Source organism: Homo sapiens, chromosome 20 (genome assembly GCF_000001405.40).
Source record: "Homo sapiens chromosome 20, GRCh38.p14 Primary Assembly".
In the NCBI taxonomy this organism is placed as follows: Eukaryota; Metazoa; Chordata; class Mammalia; order Primates; family Hominidae; genus Homo; species Homo sapiens.
Window position 1 is genome coordinate 52226650 of NC_000020.11, and position 19688 is coordinate 52246337.

Here is a 19688-nt window from a genome sequence, read left to right on the forward strand (position 1 = left end):
CTCTGAGTGCTGATCTCTCTCTTCCACCTTCTCTCTCCTTCTTCTTTCTCTTCCACCCTCATTTCTCTTTTCTAGAATGTGGGATTTGGGACTAGTGTGAGTGCTTAAGGTGAACTCTGTGGGTGTAGCAGCAGGTTCTCATTTATTATAATTTTGGCTGCTGTGCATATCTTTATTTCTTTCTTTCTTTTTTTTTTTTTGAGATGGAATCTCGCTCTGTCGCCCAGGCTGGAGTGCAGTGGTGCGATCTCGGCTCACTACAACCTCTGTCTCCTGGGTTTAAGTGATTCTCCTGCCTCAGCCTCCTGAGTAGCTGGGATTTCAGGTGCGTGCCACCATGCCTGGCTAATTTTTTTTGTATTTTTAGTAGAGACGGGGTTTCACCATATTGGCCAGGCTGGTCTCGAGCTCCCAATCTTGTGATCCGCCCGCCTCGGCCTCCCAAAGTTCTGGGATTACAGGCGTGAGCCAGCGCGCCCATCCAGCTGCTGTGCATTTCATGGCCAGAACATAGCACAAGGACGTGGCCGGCCCCTTACTGATTGGCATTTTCCTGTCTCCAGTGCTTTCCTGTTATAGATTGTGCACGAGCAGTCATTCTGGAATGTCTACCTTTACACTCAGGTACGAGGGCATCTGTTGGGCTGATGCATAGAAGGGGAATTACTCAAACAAGGGAAATATTTTAATGTTACAGAATACCACACTTTCATCACAAAAGTTTTCATCTGTATAGAAAGATTTAATTGGAAATGAATGAAGACCTCTGATATGGTTTGGCTGTGTCCCCACCCAAATCTCATCTTGAATTGTAACTCCCAAATTCCCACATGTCATGGGAGGAACTCGGTGGGAGGTGATTGAATTATGGGGGCAGGTCTTTGCTGCGCTGTTCTCATGATAGTGAATGAGATCCGATGGTTTTAAAAAGAGGAGTTCCCCTGCACAAAATCTTTTTGCCTGCTGCCATCCACATAAGTCATGACTTGCTCCTCCTTGCCTCCCACCACAATTATGAGGCTCCCCAGCCACGTGGAAATGTAAGTTCAGTGAAACCTCTTTCTTTTGTAAATTGCCCAGTCAGAGATATGTCTTCATTAGCAGTGTGAAAACGGATTAATACAACCTCTTTTGAGGTTTCTTTGAAATGACAGTTTTTCTGGTTTCAAAGACTATGCAGACTAGTCCTAACCCTGCCTTTGCTCCCTCTAAGAGGGGCATCTTCCTCATGCACAGAGCTTAGTCCTTCAATGTGGTAAGGAAAGATCAATTTCACCTTTCCTCATTATTGCTTTTTTTTTTTTCTTTTTAGACAGAGTCTTGCTCTGTCACCAGGCTGGAGTGCAGTGGCACAATCTCGACTCACTGTAACCTCCAACTCTTTGGTTCAAGTGATTCTCCTGTCTCAGCCTCCCAAGTAGCTGGGATTACAGGCACGTGCCACCATGCCCGGCTAATTTTTGTATTTTTAGTAGAGACAGGGTTTCACCATGTTGGCCAGGATGGTCTTGATCTCCTGACCTCATGATCCGCCCGCCTTGGCCTCCCAAAGTGCTGGGATTGCAGGTGTGAGCCACTGTGCCTGGCATGCTTTTTTTAAAAAAATAAATTTTATTGTACATATTTAAGGTATACATTATGATGTTATGAGTGGGATCCACATAGATAGTAAAATGGTTACGATAGTGAGTAAATTACCATATTCATTATCTTACATAGTTACACATTATTCTTTTTGTGTGTGGCAAGAGCAGCTGAAATCTATTTAATTAGCAAAAATCCTGAATATAACACAATATAATGTTGTGTTATATTGTACAACTATAGTTAATAATTAACTATAGCCCTTATGTCTCAATAAAACAAACCCGGTCCATATATTTATATTTATTATATTTATATTACATAAGCCAAGGGTCCCAGTCCATGGCCCGTTAAAAACCCAGGCCACACAGCAGGAGGTGAGCAGCGGGCAAGCGAGCAATTCGCCTGAGCTCCACCTCCTCTCAGGTCAGCGACAGCATTAGATCTCATAGTTCTCGCAGGAGCACGAACCCTATTGTGAGCTATGCATGGAAAGGATCTAGGTTGTGCACCCCTTGTGAGAATCTAATACCTGATGATCTGAGGTGGAAGTTTCATCCTGAAAGCCTCTCCACCACCCCTCCCACCCTCACTGCCCTGTCCATGGAAAAATTGCCTTCTATAAAACCGGTCCCTGGTACCAAAAAGGTTATGGACTGCTGCTATAAGTAATACAAAAATTAGCCCAACATGGTGCACACCTGTGGTCCCAGTTACTTGGGAGGCTGAGATGGGAGGATCGCTTGAGTCCAGGAGGTCGAGGTTACAGTGAGCCTCCATTGGGTTCCACTCCAGCCTGGGCAACAGAGTAAGACCTTGTCTTAAAAAAAAAGTAATGTAGTGAATAAATGAATATATTCTTGTTATAAGAATGCCAACAATGCTCAAATATATCTGTGAGTACTTATTTTTGCCTGACATCTTAACATACTAAATGCTGAATACATTTTCATTCAACAGTATGTCATGGGTATCACATTGCATGTCTATATCAAAACATCTCATGTACTCCATAAATATATACACCTAATATGTACCCACAAAGATTAAAAACAATTTTTTTTCTTAAAAAATATGTTGTGGATAAACTTCCACATCAGTATATGCAGGTCTATGATTTTTTCTTTCTTTTTTTAGAGACAGAGTCTTGCTTTGTTGCCCAGGCTGGAGTGCAGTGGTGTGATCATTGTTCACTGAAACTTCAAACTCCTGGGCTCAAGCAATCCTCCCACCTCAGCCTCCTGAGTAGCTAGGACTGTAGGAGTGTGCTACCATACCTGGCTAATATTCTTTATTTTTTGTACAGATAGAGTCTCACTATGTTGCCCAGGCTGGTCTCAAACTCCTGGCCTCAAGTAATCGTCTTTCCTTGGCCTCCCAAAGTGCTGAGATTATAGGTGTGAGCCATGGAGCCTGGCCCTTACCAATTTTTCAAAAATGGCTGCAAAGTATTCTATATCCTGGTTTTATGATTCTGATTCAAATTTATTAGCCATTCCCTAATGATGGACAGTTGTCTGCAGTTTGTTAATATAATATGATACATTCAACATATTTGCACCGATTTTTTTGCTTATTTGTATGTGGATATATATCACAATGTGGAATTGTTGGGCTGATTTATTTAAAAATGCTGGTGTAGTCCATAAACTAAGATAGATAAAGTTAAGATTTGAGACAATAAACTTGCAATCCCTCTTTTTCCCCAGTAGTTGTCTGAGGTATTGTAGCATAAATAACAAATGTGTGTAATTAAAAACCAAAATTAGCTGAGCAAAAATACTATCCCTGCCCAAATTTCAGTTTTAAATTCTTATTTACAAACACTGTTTCTTGTTTTTCCTGCCTTTGATGTGAACTTTAATTTTTAAGTGTAATCTAAACCACCTTTAAAACAAATCATTTATTCGTAAGGTTTACTATGTCATAATTGCCTGGTTATTTGGATGATAGATGTGTCATATCTGAAAACTAACTAGTTATCTTTTGAAATGTATTTCAACATGCATTATCTGAAGCAGCAAAGGTGAGAACACTGCGTGGATAAATATGATAAAAAATATGATGGATTTACAAGCACAGCACTCAGGTTTAGCATTTAGTCATTTTTATTATGTTGTTGGGTCAAAAGTGTAAAAGAAGACCAGCAGAGGAACTGTTAAGGCTCCTTGGAGTTTTTGCCTGCCCTCCTGCCTGGGGATGGAGGTAGTTCTAGCCTAGAAACTCTTGAATGCTTTACAAATAATAGAAGCCAAGTGGGAAAAGCATGTTCTATATTTTAATGCTGACATCCTCATAGAAAAAAAAAAGTAAAGATTCAGAATACTTGGCTGTGATTCAGTACCTAAACACTTCCTGGTGTTTCTCAGAATCCCCCGGAGACTCATAAATGCTGCTGTGTTGGAGGTACCCATTGCTGCTGCACACTTAGGCCAGTTTGTCAAACTAACGAGCTCAAGAGCGATGCTATTTCTAGGTTCAACCCCATGGGGGAGGAACAGAGAGAAAACAAAACCAAAATTCAGACAGAAGAGTAATCCTAAAGGCCAGTTGACAAAAAATTTATTAACACATATATACCAAATCTCACCCAGAGTAGTATCCTTTGTGGAGATTTTACCCTACAAATCTTTTGCTAGCTCCTTGAGTCCAAGCATTACAGATAAGGTGGTATGGTTTTTACACTGGGTGATGTTTATTGATCTGGACTTAAAAAACAGCACTGTCTGGCTTTTTTTCACTGACACAATATTTGCAAATAACTATGGAATGGAGAGGACGTGTTTTCCTCTTGTTAGGGCCTATTGTTTTTTAAGAAAATTAACAAAAGGGAGAGAGAAGCTTTAACACTCATTGAGAGGGACTTTTTATTCTGGGATTTGATAACTAAGATTCGGGGAAGATAGTGAGTTTTGGTGTAATTTGTGTCATCAAAACAACCCCTGTATTAGAGCAGGAGATACAGTATCAATAGATAATGAGAAAAGACAATGGAAATTATACAAATGTATGTTTCTTAAAAGCTTTTGCTACCTATTATTTTCTAGCCTATAGGCAAAATTTAGAGACATATAATGGATATGCTTATATTGATAGTAACATATCATGTAATTTAAAAGGCTAAGTCCACCTTACAGGTTTGCCTCATGCCATGATGAATCATTTTGAAATGTGATTGGTCTTCTAAGGGATTGTTCAAAGATTGTCAGTCAATCATTGACAAAATAACTCTGTGAGGTGACTTACTACAGTTTGGTTTTGATGTTTACAACATAACCAAATGTGAACTTTGGAGCTTGTAAAGTTGTTCTTTCAGCATTATAAATTTGGCAGCTTCCTCTTCCTGCCTCCCTTCTCCTCCTCCTTCTCTTTTTCTTCTTCTCCTTATCTTCCCTTCCTGCTTCAACAAATTCACAGAAATAGGAGGCCTGCTGTATTAATTTTATTGTTTGCTTACTTTCAAATCTTTTCTTTCAGGCATATTTCAATATATAATTGATATGAAGTGTGACAATTTTTAATTTGTCTTGACTTTTTAAATTTTATGATAGAAAATGGAAACCAACATATATAAATAATCTACTAATATTTCTTAACCTTTATATATATGCTCAAGAGAAGACTTTTTTCTTCCCCCTGGAATGAATTTTTTTTTTTTTAAAGAAAGTCAAGTATTATGTATACACAGCTTTTGAATTCTTGGATATATTTTTGAAACTTTAAAACATTATTATTTATATTAATCTTTGAAGTATTTCCTCTTGAGGAACTACCTATACTTCTTGCATAGTGACCTAGTTTCAATAGTAACATTTTATAGAAGCTGATGGTAAAATTTATGTCTTCGGACCATAATTAATTATGTTTTGAACTTAAACAGGAACATCTCCTTTCTTAACTAAACGGCCGTGTCTTACATTTACATGATTTGCTATTTGTACCTTAAAGAGGTGTAATAGTTTTATTATGTTCTTATGTCATCAGTAATTTCATATGTGAGTCATGAATCCCATAGATTTAGTGGTGCTCAAATACACTTATTGATTGATTGATTTGCTATACAATTGGCTCTCTGTATTTATGAGTTCTGTATCTAGGGATTCAACCAACTTTGGTTTGAAAATATTAGGGGAAAAAAGAAAATATACAACCATAAAAATACATATTTAAAAAATTCAGTGTAACAACTATTTACTTAGTATTTACATTATATTAGGTATTACAAGTGATCTAGAGATGATTTAGAATTACAGGAGGATGTGCATAGGTTATATACAAATACTATGCCATTTCATTTAAGTGACTTGAGCATTTGTGGATTTTTTGGGGCATTTCTTGAACCAATCCCCCATGAATACCCAGGGATGGCTGTATATGGTTGATACTTTGGGAAGATTTTAGATTTAGTATAAATGGAAACTTAAAGCGTAGGCTTGCAGTTAAATATATTTAACTGCCATCATTCTAGAAACCAAGAGTTGAAAAAGCCCTTTAGGGACTTAATGCTCTTCTTTCCGTAAATGTGTAGAGCACAGCTGCCCTAACCTGGCTCGTCATCAGAGCTTCCTGGGGACCTCTTAACAACGTGGATTCCAGGGTCAGCCCCCAGGAGAACATGGCTCCATAGGTTTGGGGTACAGCCAGTAAGCTTCATTCAACAAAACCAAACCCAATCCCAAAAATATTCCAAACACTTTTGATAATCAGCGGTGTTTGGGAATCATTGATGTTTAGCAGGGCGTGTGAAAGGAGAAGGTACAATTATGAATCAAGAAAATGGAGATGTCTTTTATAAAGTCACTCTGCAAATTTTGGGGGTGTTTAAAATTTTTTTTAAATTGACACCATGAACGGTTAATTTTTTTTGTATTTTTAGTAGAGACAGTGCTTCACCATGTTAGCCAGGATGGTCGCGATCTCCTGACCTCGTCATCTGTCTGCCTCGGCCTCCCAAAGTGCTGGGATTACAGGCGTGAGCCACCGTGCCTGGCCAGAAATTTTTTATTCATTGACCTATAGCTCCCTAATCCTCTTACTCACTAGCCTCTGGTACCCACCATTCTCCTCTCTGCTTCTCAGTTCAACGTTTTTAGATTCTACGTAGAAGTGGGATCATGCCATGTTTCTCTTTTTGTGCTTTGCTTATTTCATTTAACACAACGTTCTTTAGGTTCATCCATGTTGTTGGAAATGACAGGATTTCCTTTTAATTCAAGGCTGAATAGTATTCCTTTGTGTATATGTGCCACACTTTCTTTATCCACTCGTTGGTTGGTGGGTACTTAGGTTGGTTCCATGTCTTCACAATTGCAAATTGATGTATCACATCTTCTTTATTCATTCGTCTGGTGATGGACACGTAGGTTGATTTCACATCTTAGCTATTATGAACAGTGCTGCAATGAACATGGGAGTGCAGATGTCTCTTTGACAGACTGATTTCCTTTCCTTTGGATTATACCCAGAAGTGGGATTGCTGAATCACTAAGCTAATTTTGACATCATTAAACTATCATCCTTCCAAGTGCATATTCCTGATATTAAACTTCTTGGGAAATTAGTAAACATGTATATGTGCTCACCAGGGCATCTCTGGGGTGTGTGGGTTGTGGATAAACACTTTTGTTGAAGGGCTTTTGTCCATATAAACAATTTGATTAAAAAAAATATATATTTTTTGATATAGAGTCTCCCTCTGTCACTCAGGCTGGAGTGCAATGGTGTGCAATCACTGCTCACTGCAACCTCTGCCTCCTGGGTTCAAGTGATTCTCCTGCCTCAGCCTCCTGAGTAGCTGGGATCATAGGCACCCACCACCATGCCTGGCTAATTTTAGTATTTTTAGTAGAGATGGGGTTTCGCTATGTTGGCCAGGGTGGTCTTGAACTCCTGACCTCAAGTGATCTGCCCACCTTGGCCTCCCAAAGTGCTGGGGTTACAGGCATGAGCCACCATACCCGGACTAAAAAAATATATCATAAAACTCATGGGCTTGTATGAGGTATGCTAGTCATCAAAGGAGAAGAGAAGAGGTAGTCACACATTTGTTTATTGTCCAACTGGCACATGGGAAGATTCTAGTGTCCAGGCTCCATTGTGTCCTGTTAAGGTCCAGTAGCCATTGCTTCCATTCTTCATTATCTAATGTGCTGATTCAGGCTAATTTCATGTCTTCCACCAGGAGAATGAGGGAGCCACACTGTTTTTATTCATAATGCCATGCTCTTTGGAACCTGTTTGCATTGAGACAATGTAGGCCTTCTTGCCTTTGCAATCCCCAGTGCCATTTACATCATCAGTTCTGATGGCTGCCTCATTCATTGGACTGGCCATGAACCCTGGCTTCTGATGACTCTCTCAAAGGTCATGACTGTGTGTCCATGATGGTGACCACAAATGGAAGTCTCACTCAGCATCTGCAGGGAGATGTGAATGGTAGTTTGTTTTCTGGTCTTGTTAAATTTACTGTTTGGAACTTTAGAGTGTAAACGTAGAAAGCCTATCTTCTGAGTATATCTTCTTTTGGAATCTTTAGGTGGTAGCTGCAAGAACTCTTAGTATGTTGACCTCACCTCTGCCTTCCACATACCACTACCAGTGAGGAATTAGGAATGCATGAGAAGAGTGTCCAAGAAGAGTGTCCTCATTCATGCAAGGCTTAAGAGAGAATGCAGGTCAACATCACCATGTCAATCAGAGGTAGGTGAGCTCACCAATTGGAAAGGCCCATTGGTGTGGGGATGAATGGTCTTGAAAAAGCCCTTCAGGAGATAGGTGTGGGCACCCAAGAGGATTGCCTAATGTGTGGTATGAAGCTAGTAGAGGTTGTCGGGTGACTGCATTAGGAGACACAATGTATAGAATGTCAGTTGCCACCCCCACTATCCTAAGATGCTGTAGACCAGAGGTAGCATGGTGAGGGGCACATGGGTGGGTGAGAGCCTGGCATGGGCCCACAGTGTTTAGTTTAATAGTAGTCCAGAAATCTGATGTTGTCTTGTGCCGCGCTTGAGTGAGAATCATCAAAATTGGTGTGTTAGCCCCATTCTACTTGTCAATCTTGTGCAATCACATGAAAGAAATGCTGTGCCAGCTGGCAGGGAGCTATCTGCTGGTCTCCTGGAATTGGGATCTCCCCAGATGACCCGTGCGTGAGATTCAGGGCTCCTCTGGGCAGCTAGTGGACACATGTGGGATAGTGGGCTGGAGAGCAACCTGGAGGGGAAACCCTGGGGGCAAGGGGGGGTCCATGAGGTAGGCCTTGAGCATCCCACCTGTCACTACTGCAGACCCTGCCCTCCCTGGGAGGGGACTTAGGCCACTTACACCTGGGGCCTAGAGCAGGACTCCCACTTCCCGCATCCAAGGAGGGTACTGGTACTTTCTATGTGCCTTGCAGTGTTCTGAATCCTTCATGTAACTTAGCTCATTTAATCCTCATGGTGCCCCGGGAGGTATGAACTGCTATTATCATCATCCTCGCTATTTCACAGGTGTGAAAACTGAGACTTGAGAGAGGCTAAGTGTGTGCTAAGGAAACTCAGCTAGTAAGTAGCTGACTGGTATTTCAACCCGGGCAGCTCAATTGCAGATTGTCACCTTAATCCCTTGCTATGCTGTTTCTCACTGTTTGAACTCTGCTAAAGACAATATAAGGCACACTGCATAAAGTTGCTTTTTATGAACATATTACCACTACTTTATGTTTGCATGACCTTTAATAGTGTAGTCAACATTTGTCTCCCCCACTGCATGCTGCATTCCAATCCCACTACCCCAATTCTAACAGTATCCTGATTTCTTGTTCAGAAATTATCTTTTTCTCATGGGCATGGTCAAAGTGTTCTGTCTTTCCACTATAAGGCCAAAGGAGTCCCTTCCAGAACCTTCTTCTTAATATTACAGTGCATTTCAAAGTGAGCAAGTGAGAGTCTGATTGAGCAAGTCAGCTTTCACCCAGGACTTCCAATCATGAGCCTAGTGACTCAGAGATGGAAAAATGGCCCAAGAGCAGTGGACCCTGATATGTTGTGCATGTTTGTCCCCTCCAAATTTCATGTTGAAATATGATTCCCATTGTTGGAGGTGGGGCCTGGTGGGAGGTATTGGATCGTGAGGGTGGATTTCTCATGAGTGGTTTAGCGCCATCCTGCTGGTGATCACGGAGTCCTTGCTCAGTTAGCTCATGTGAGATCTGGTTGTTTAAAACTCTGGGACTTCCGCCATCTCTGTCTCTGTCTCTTGCTCTTGCCACATGATATGCCTGCTCCCACTTTGCCTTCTGCCATGATTTTACAGTGCCTGACACCCTCACCAGAAGCAGATGCCAGAGCCATGCCGGCACAACCTGCAGAACCATGAGCCAATTCAACCTCTTTTCTTTATAAATTAACCAGCCTCAGGTGTTTCTTTATAACCATGCAAAAAATAACCGGACACAGACCCTGACGAACATTCTCTGTCAGTTCCTTGATTCCTGATCCTTGTTCCTACTTGACTTTACAGCCTTCCCATAAATTGTGGAAGTCTCCAAATACCCTTCTAGTGAATCCCTTTTTTTCCTTTTGCTGGCTAAACCAATTTCTGTTGCTTGCCATCAAAGAACTGTAACTGATACAGCATATGGTCTCATATGCGATTCTCACTAGCCAGATTGGAGTGGGAAGGCGGTATCACCATCCCTGTTTTATAGATAGAAAACTGTTCAGAGAGGCTGAAGAAGTTGCTCAAAAGTACACAGTGAGTAAGGGACAGAGTCAGGATTTGTTCCCACAGTATTGACCTCTGCTTCAGAGGGCAAAGATAATCTTGATTTTCTTTCATTTCTTTATTTTCTTTCATTACTTTTCCATTTCCATTAGTGGCAGAGCATGGCTTAAATACCATTGCATCTTAGCCAATGGCGGAAGCTCTCTGAGCTTTATTCCCTCATTAATGAATGGGGATAATGATAGTAACTACCTAAAAAAAAAAACCTGTTGTGAGAATCATGTAAGAGAATGACCTTGGAACATCCTTGGCACAGTGCTTGGCATGCAATATGTACTCGATACATGTAATTCCCATGTCAGGAGTGACAAGATAGAATTCAAGATTCCTGGACATTGTTTAGGCGTTATAATACACTTAAAGTTCCAGCTGGGCACAGTGGCTCACCTGTAATACCAGCTCTTTGGGAGGCCGAGGCAGGCGGATCACAAGGTCAGGAGATCGAGACCATCCTGGCTAACATGGTGAAACCCCGTCTCTACTAAAAAATACAAAAAATTAGCCAGACATGGTGGCGGGCACCTATAGTCCCAGCTACTCAGGAGGCTGAGGCAGAAGAATGGCGTGAACCCAGGAGGTGGAGCTTGCAGTGAGCCGAGATCGCGCCACTGCACTCCAGCCTGGGCGACAGAGCAAGACTCTGTCTCAAAAAAAAAAAAATAAATAAAAAGTAAATAAATAAAAAAAATAAAGTTCCTTAACACTAGAAAATTGGTTGAAGAGCCCTCAGAACAACAGCTCTAGTTGGGTTTGATGAGGATGCTGACCATCCACCCCTTGGGTTCCCCAGTGAAGATTTTTGCAGTGGTCCACCAAAACTTCGGTGGGTCATGCCTTTGAGCAAGGAGATGTATTGCACTGTGGAGCAGTAAGGAGGCAATGGGATGGGATGGGGAGAGCTGAGGTCTCACAGGAGGAGACCTGGTTTGAATCCTGACTCCACTCCTTCTGGGCTTCATGACTGGACAAATAGTTTAAGTTCTTGGCAACACTATTCTCACTTAGAAAACGGGCATAACATTGTCATCCGGAGGCTTCCTTGTTCCAGGGGATCTGGAGAAACTCTGACCTCAGTTCCCCTAGTTCTAGGGTTGTGGCCATCCAGCCCTTGGATGTCATACTACTTTTGTGAATTCCTGGGAGACTTCAATGCAGGCACCCTCTGTTGGAAGAGGAGTGAAGAGAAACCTAAAAAAAGTTTGCTCAAAAGATTCTTTGAAATCTTTTGAAGTCTCCAGAAGAGACTGAAATGCCTTAATGGGCAAGTTTGTTTTTACTTCCTCTGGGCTCCAGACCTGCGCTGTCCAGTTGAACTTTCTGTGAGGATGATCATGGTCTATATCTGCCCTGTTCAATGTGGTAGCCACTAGCCACATGGGTCAGTTTTACTGAACACTTGAAATAGGGCTCATGCAATGAGACACTGAATTTCTAATTTTCTTTAATTTTAATTGATTACAGTGTAAATGGAAATAGTCACACGTGGTTCATGGTTACCATACAGGGGAGGAGGCTCTAGAGGGAGAAGATGCCAGTTATGGAGAACAAAGAAGCTCTACTTGTTACTTGAGTGGTAGAGTTTAAATTCGTAATCCTGCTGTATGTAGGGTGTGGCCTCTGTTTCTGAGACTGTAGGTGATGGGCATGCAGAGGGCCAGGACCATGAGCCTGGGGCAGAAATGGGGAGCAGAGAGGAGCAGGGGCAACCCCAGTAACAAGAAAGGAAGGACCATAGGAAGTGATCACCAGGGTCCCTTCACAGGTTATTGATTTTTTTTTAAAAACAGGATAGGGTATCACTATGTTTCCCAGGCTGGTCTTGAACTCCTGGGCTCAAGGGATCTTTCTGCCTCAGCCTCCTGAGGAGCTGGGATTATAGGCATGCACCACCATGCCTGGCAATTTTTGAAAGAACCAAACTTCTTTACAGAGAGGAAAGTAATCTCAGAAAGTAGGTTGGGGAGAAAATTAGTCAAAAGATAAAAAGTTACTTGAAAGGTTCTATTTTAAGCCAAAAGATACTGTATGTAAACAAGAAGAGACTGAGATGCCTTAATTGGCAAATTTAAATTTCTATTTCTACCCATCCCATCTGCCCACCCCATTGACCCAGGGGTCAAAGAGCAAGATTAAGATCAGTTATAGAAAATAAAGGTACATTTTCCTTCATAAATGAACATAGCATGCTAAAGATTTTTTTATTTGATTATAATAATTGCATATTTATTTATGTAATTGCTCAGTTAATGTCTATTGCCTTCTTGGTTGTAAACTCCCCGAGGCAGGGGTTGTGTTTGCTGTTCTCATGGTTGGATAAAAGACCAGGCGGAATGTTTGGCACAAGGGTTGTGTGCTTGGGACATATTTTCTGAAAAAACAAGCTTAGTCTAGTGATGGGCACCCAGCAGTTTATCTGTGATTTAATTTTTCCAGCCTCATATAGCAAGGGCCCCTTAAACAGAGTAATTGAAATGTATTTTTGTTATGTGCCACCTGGTAAAGACCACTGGATTCATTTGTCTGTAATCTTGACAAATAGTAATTTTTTTTTAAGTGATAAGATCTTGCTACACCTTGCTGTAGCCTGCTACAGCCCAGGCTAGACTTGAACTCCTAGCCTTAAGCGACCTTTCTGCCTCAGCCTTCTGAGTAGCTGGAATTACAGACACACAGCACCATGCTGGCTGACAGATGGTAATTTTTGTCTTCAATAGGTTAAGAGGAATGGTCACTTAAGGACATAATCAGTTGGATATCTGCTTATCAGATTAAATAATCAAATTTAATTTATGTAACAAGTTAGAAAGGATTTTAGTATTATCTGTAGTCAAATTTCTCCAAGTTTTCAGTCAAAGATTTTTTTGCCATCGATATATAAATGCGTACTATTATTTTGTTTTTCATTAAATTAACTAAAAAAATCAAGCTTAATTCCAATCTTGGCATCTTGTTTCACAAGGATGTCTACAAAATCAAAGATTTTTTGTGCTAAATTTTTTCCTAATATACGCTAAAACAAACACATCACTAGCAGAGAGTGGAACCATTGTGTCTGCTACCTGAATGCTGAGTACTGCACTTTGGGTGAATCCCAAATGCTTAACTATTGAAGTGATGTTTTATGGATTGAGCCTATTTATTAAATATGGGAGGTCCAGGGTCTCTGAACTGGAAACTGGGGTCCTCTACCCCGAGGGAAAAGAAGTAGCTGGTTATGGTGATTGGCACTGTTCCTAGTTTCCTCAGGACTTTCCTGGTATTGGCACTGAAAGTCCCACTCCCTGGGAACCCATAGTCCTGGGCAAACCAGAATGGTTGGTCACCCTATAGTTGGCATAATCATAATTTTAAGCCACCATCTTTTTAGAGATGGCTTGGTTAGTCCAAACACCTTGGCAAAGAGAGAAAAAAATAATCCTAGACTTGGAGGTGGAAAAACTGGGTTTAAGAACTGACTCTTGGCCAGCTCATACCTGCAATCCCAGCACTTTGGGAGGCCCAGGTGGGAGGATCGCTTGAGGACAGGGGTTTGAGACCAGCTGGGGTAACATAGTGAGACCTCATCTCTACTAAAAATAAAATCAGCCAGGGGTGTCGTGATGTGCACCTGTAGTCTCAGCAACTGGAGAGGCTGAGGTAGGAGGATAGCTTGAATCCAGGAGTTTGAGGCTGCAGTGAGCTATAATGGTCACTTCACTCCAGCCTAGGCAACAGAGCTAGGTCTTATCTCTGGAAAAAAAAAATAAAAAAAAAAGAACTGTACTGCTAATTTGCTACTTGTTTTAATTTGGGATTCCTCAGAGGTAGAGGAGACACAAATTTGAGTACAACTAGTTTATTGGGTGGTAATCCCAGGAAACACCCATAAAGGAGTAGGGATGTTAGACTAGTAGTGAGCCAAGAAAGGGTGCACTATTAAGCAAGTTACCACTGTGGGTAACTGGAGTTTAATCCCAAGTGAATGTGGAAAGCATGCCCCTCCCACCTCTCCCACCAAGTGGGAGAGGGAGCTGGGGTATTTACACCCCAGTCCTGTTAGTCATTGGTTGAGAGCTGTTCCTGGGGATGTTAATTCTCCCAGACTTTTGGCTTGCCCTGAGTGCATGAGCAGAGTGGGTTCCTGCCACCAGGGAAACTCCTTCAGCAAAGAGAAGGGACGCTGGCAGAGGGAACTACCCTAGTGAATACTATTAGGTTGGTGCAAACGTAATTGCGATTTTTACCATTACTTTTGCACCTGCCTAGTAAAATGGAAAGTCCTTTTAGGGGCTGTGAGCCAGGCACCATGTCTGTTATAGGGACTGTGGGCACGCACTTTCCCTTCTTGAGTTATATTTTTTCCATGAATCATATGAGAAGTGGGAGTTTGATTAATGCTTCCTAAAGTGTGAGACAGAGACCTGCCAATATGGGAGATGATTTTGGTGCCACATGGACACTCGCTTTAAATAGCAGGGAATCACAGGGAGGAAGTGTTCTCATGTCTCAGTCAGCCCTCCATATATATTGACAAGAAAGTCTCCATCGGGTGCTCTTTTAACCCAGACTCCTCTCTTCTCTTTTAATCTTCCTCTTTTAACAGAAGAAAGCAGTCTTCAATCCAAACTATAGTATCTGGCATGTAATAATACTGTTTTAAAATATTTTATTTATTTTTATTGCTAGTGTCTATATATGAAATATGATCTTAGCCCTCCTTTATTTAAAGTCCAGCTGGTTAAAGACAAACATTAAGTCAGTAAACGGACACATGGGATGTTAATATGATGAAAATTATGATGGTGAGATATTGGGTAACTCTAAATGCTCTCCTTGTTCAAAAAGTCCAATGTTTCTGTGTTTGTTTGAGAACCTTGTTTTGTGATACTTCCTGTTGCTGACTTTTCTGATCATATGTTGAACCTTCTCCACATGCTAAGTTTAGAAATCTTTTCCATGTCAGGCGCAGTGGTTCATGCCTTTAATCCCAGCACTTTGGGAGGCTGAGGCGAGCGGATCATTTGAGGTCGGGAGTTTGAGACCAGCCTGGTCAACATGGTGAAACCCTGTCTCTACTAAAAATACAAAAATTAGCCAGGCATGGTGGCATACACCTGTAATCCCAGCTGCTCTGGAGGCTGAGGCTTGAAACTGGGAGATGGAGGTTGCAGTGAGCCGAGATCGTGCCACTGCACTCCAGCCTGGGTGACAGAGTGAGACTTCATTTCAAAAAATATAAAATAAAATAAAAAGTAAAAATCTTTTCCCGAACTTCACTCAGGTGGTATAAACAGAGACCAACTATGATGAATGGTTATGTAAAGATCGCCAGTCCTGGGTGCTTTTTTGAGATTATGCTGCAGCAGGCTTTCTCAGAATCTCTCCATTCTGCCTAGAGAGGGATTTTAATTTGGTTGTTATTGTCATCTGCATCAGGCCACAAGATGACATCAGCAGATTTTTGCCGAAGCCCAAAAAAGATAAATATTTAAGAAGTATTTAAGAGGGGGTAGATGTGTTCCCATCTTACAATCATTTGGGGTCATGCTTGCATTCAAGGATTTCTAAACAAAGGGTGGTATTTTAATAAGAAAAGTGATTGTGGTTCCAGTTTTGATGTGATTTGAGATGAAAACGATATTTTAAAGACTGACCAAAATTGCATTTAATAGCTGAAAAGAATAAACACTTAAAAAAATAATGACCTTAACAAAGAAAGTTGTGATTTAAAGCAATACATTCTAAGCATAGTCTGTTTTATCCATACCAAATGTGAGATGCAATATTTTCTGGAAATAGGTCAAATTCTGAGTATTTTGTATAAACAATATATTCCACTAGAGGGCGCTATTTAGTTGTGTATTTAACGTTCTTTTTCTTTTTATAAAAATAAAAAAGGCTATAAGATGATGAATTCTGATATGATTCTTGTTGAGCATGTTATGAAATTTCCTCCCAGACATTGTTTTATTTTCAGCTTATATGTGTGAAACTTCACTTTAAGAAGTATACATGACCCTGAATCTTTCAATATGTATACAGTCCCAGCGGTATTATGGTACAATAGAAGCAAAAGACATAAGTTTAAATTATTGTAATCCCAGAGGTCTTTTGACTGTTGTTTCTCTTTATATGTTACCTCATGAAGAAAATTTATTGTAAATATTAATATTGTCTGTTTAGATCTTATGTGAAAAGACAAAGAGAGGGAGTGTGGCTCTGGGTGGGTGATCCTGTCACTTTTTCCAGGGTGGCTTTTGTTATCTAAAACAATTTACAGGAGAGTCTTTCAGTTTGTTTTTCAGGATTTCGGTCTCTTAAGCTCATATTGTCTCCACAATAGTCATGGCCTACATTTCTTTGATTCTAGTTTTTCTAGACTCATTACCTTTCTCTTTTCCCTCTGGTTTCTCAAACTATGCTGTATGAGATGATAGTATTTATTTATTTATTTATTTATTTTTGAGATAGAGTTTCACTCTTGTTGCCCTGGCTGGAGTGCAGTGGCATGATCTCGGCTCACTGCAACCTCCAAGGGTTCAAGCGATTCTCCTGCCTCAGCCTCCTGAGTAACTGGGATTACAGGCACCTGCCACCACGCCTGGCTAATTTTTGTATTTTTTAGTACAGATGGAGTTTCACCATGTTGGACCAGGCTGATCTTGAACTCTTGACCTCCGGTGATCTGCCTGCCTTGGCCTCCCAAAGTGCTGGGATTACAGTTGTGAGCCACCGTGCCTGGCAGATGTTGGTATTCTTAAAACCACACTGGTCTACACTACCTTTAAAAACAAATTGTGACTTTCCCTCTAATTTTCAGAAAAAATAACAGGATTTTCTCAATTTATGTTATTTCACTGCATTACATTTTTCTTAAACAGTTTTAGGTTAAGGCTGTAATTATGATATTGATATAACGCAGACATGTCAAAGTTATTTAAACCTAATACATGTCTGCATTTTATCAATATACATTTATTTCATGTTCTTGTACAAAAGACTTCATTAACATATTTGGGAATTCTCTAACTTTGTCCTGAAATTCCCATTCTTTTTTAATTTTTATAATTACACCTATATTACAGAAACATGTTTTTATAAAAATTCAAACCGTAAGCATTTCATAATATAATTCTTAACATAGAGTCAAAAATGATAGTTCCTCTTCATTCTTTCCTGCAAATCCTCTTCCTTCCCCAGAATAGTCACTGTTCAGATTTAAATGTGTATCTTAAGACATTTCCTGTGCACATGTGTAGTTGAAAAGGAAACCTCTAGTTTTTATTATTTTTTTCTGATGGAATCATAGTCTATATATTGATATATTGCTTTCCTTAGTGAACAATTGTGTGTTGGCCGTCTCTTCATTTCACTACCTGTAGGTCTAGCTCATTCTTTGTAACTATTGAAGAATATTCTATAGTCTGTATGGATGTTCTTTCATTTATTTAACCAGGGATTGAGGGATTGAAGGTGGAGCCACTTGTTCTGTCTCTCTCTCTCTCTCTCTCTCTCTCTCTCTCTCTCTCTCTCTATATATATATATATATATATATATATACACACACATATATATACATATATACACACATATATACATACACATACACACACACACACACACACACACACACACATATTTTTTTTGAGACAGAGTCTTACTCTCTTGCCCGGGCTGGAGTGCAGTGCCACGATCTCAGGTCACTGCAGCCTCCACCTCTAGGAAGCAAATGATTCTCTTGCCTCAGTCTCCCATGTAGCTGGGACAACAGGTGTGTGCCACCATGCCTATCTAATTTTTATATTTTTTGTAGAGATAGGGATTCGCCATGTTGGCCAGGCTGGTCTTGAACTCCTGAGCTCAAGCCATCCACCCGCCTTGGCCTACCAAAGTGCTGGGATTACAGGCGTGAGCCACTGTGCCAGGCCCACTTGTTGGATATTTTTAACAGCTCTGCAAGAGACATCCATGTTTACACACCTGTGGGTGTGTCTGTAGAATCTCTAGCGGAGTCTCTTGATCACAGGGCAGGTTTACATTTTTGGTCAGCATTTCTATCCTCAGAACCATATTTTCTCATTTCTTTCTTTCCTTTTTTTCTTTTTTTTTTGGGATGGAGCTTTGCTGTTGTTGCCCAGACTAGAGTGCCATGGCACAATCTTGGCTCACTGCAACCTCTGCCTCCTGGGTTCAAGCAATTCTCCTGTCTCAGCCTCCCCAGTAGCTGGGATTACAGGCACACGCCACCACACTCAGCTAATTTCGTATTTTTAGTAGAGATGGGGTTTCTCCATGTTGGTCAGGCTGGTCTCGAACTTCCAACCTCAGATGATCCGCCCACCTCAGCTTCCCAAAGTGCTGGGATTACAGGCGTGAGCCACCGCGCCCAGCTTTCTCATTTCTTAAAACCAGGAATAACTTACTAAAGTTATGACCTGGGAGACAGTTACGGAAATTTTCATGAGGACTCACCTGATGCCTGTGAGGAGGTGGGACAACTTCCGTGGTGCCACGTGTGGATTTCATGGAAAACCTCAAGCCCTAGTTTCAAGGATATTGCTAGGTTCAAGCAGATTCAATTTCTTAGAAGTGGCATTGGAGACCATTAATCTGATAAGGTAAACCTTCCTTGGTTAAAGACAACATGAGAATTCAAATCTGTGAACATTTGTTGAGTACCTAACCTGTGTAAGCTGCTATGTTACTCATGGCTTGAAATTAAAAATGAGTTAAATAGAGTCTGTGCCCACAAAGAGGGCAGCAGCACCAGCAGAGATGAGATGAATACACAATTAAATCTAATCCCAGGCCATGCAAGCCAGAGACAGTGGAGCTGGCCAGAGGTCTTGTGAGTTGCTAAGCTGGGTAGGAAAAATGAGGATGGATGGGAGAGAGACAAAGTAAATGAGAGAGGAGGGGGAAGAGATATTGATTTGAAAATGAATAGGAAAGAGAAGAGAATGAGAGAGGAGAATGAGAGAGAGAACAAATAAATGGGGAGGAAGGAAAGAGAGAGAGCAGATGTGTCTTGAAAGCTGGGCAGATCCTCCACTAGTGAAGATGAAGGGAGAGAGGGGGCAGTGGTATAGTAGAAGATTAAAGAAATAAAAACAATGTAAAAATCTTATTAATTTAACCTCACCAAGACAACCACTACTCTTCTTGTGGTGTATTTCTTTTCCAGTGCATATTTTATAATATTACAAATATTATAATATTTGGATTTTTCCAATGCATATTTTATAATATTAAAAAAAGTTATAAAAATAAAATTTTTATAATACACAGGGTCCACACATCCCAGCTTTGGAAATACCTCCTGGGGGTCCCATCCTGCTGACAAGAATGGGTACAG

The 19688-nt window shown here is 40.8% G+C and overlaps 1 long non-coding RNA gene across 3 annotated transcripts in view; it reads left to right on the top strand.

The window, feature by feature from the left end:
• The window catches only part of LOC105372666 (uncharacterized), a 483513-nt gene that overhangs the window by 16007 nt on the left and 447818 nt on the right, over window positions 1–19688 (top strand). For all 3 annotated transcript variants that reach the window (XR_007067652.1, XR_001754670.2, XR_001754671.2), the window contains exon 2: window positions 8120–8283. This is a non-coding gene — a long non-coding RNA (uncharacterized LOC105372666). The remainder of the gene's footprint in view (window positions 1–8119; window positions 8284–19688) is intronic.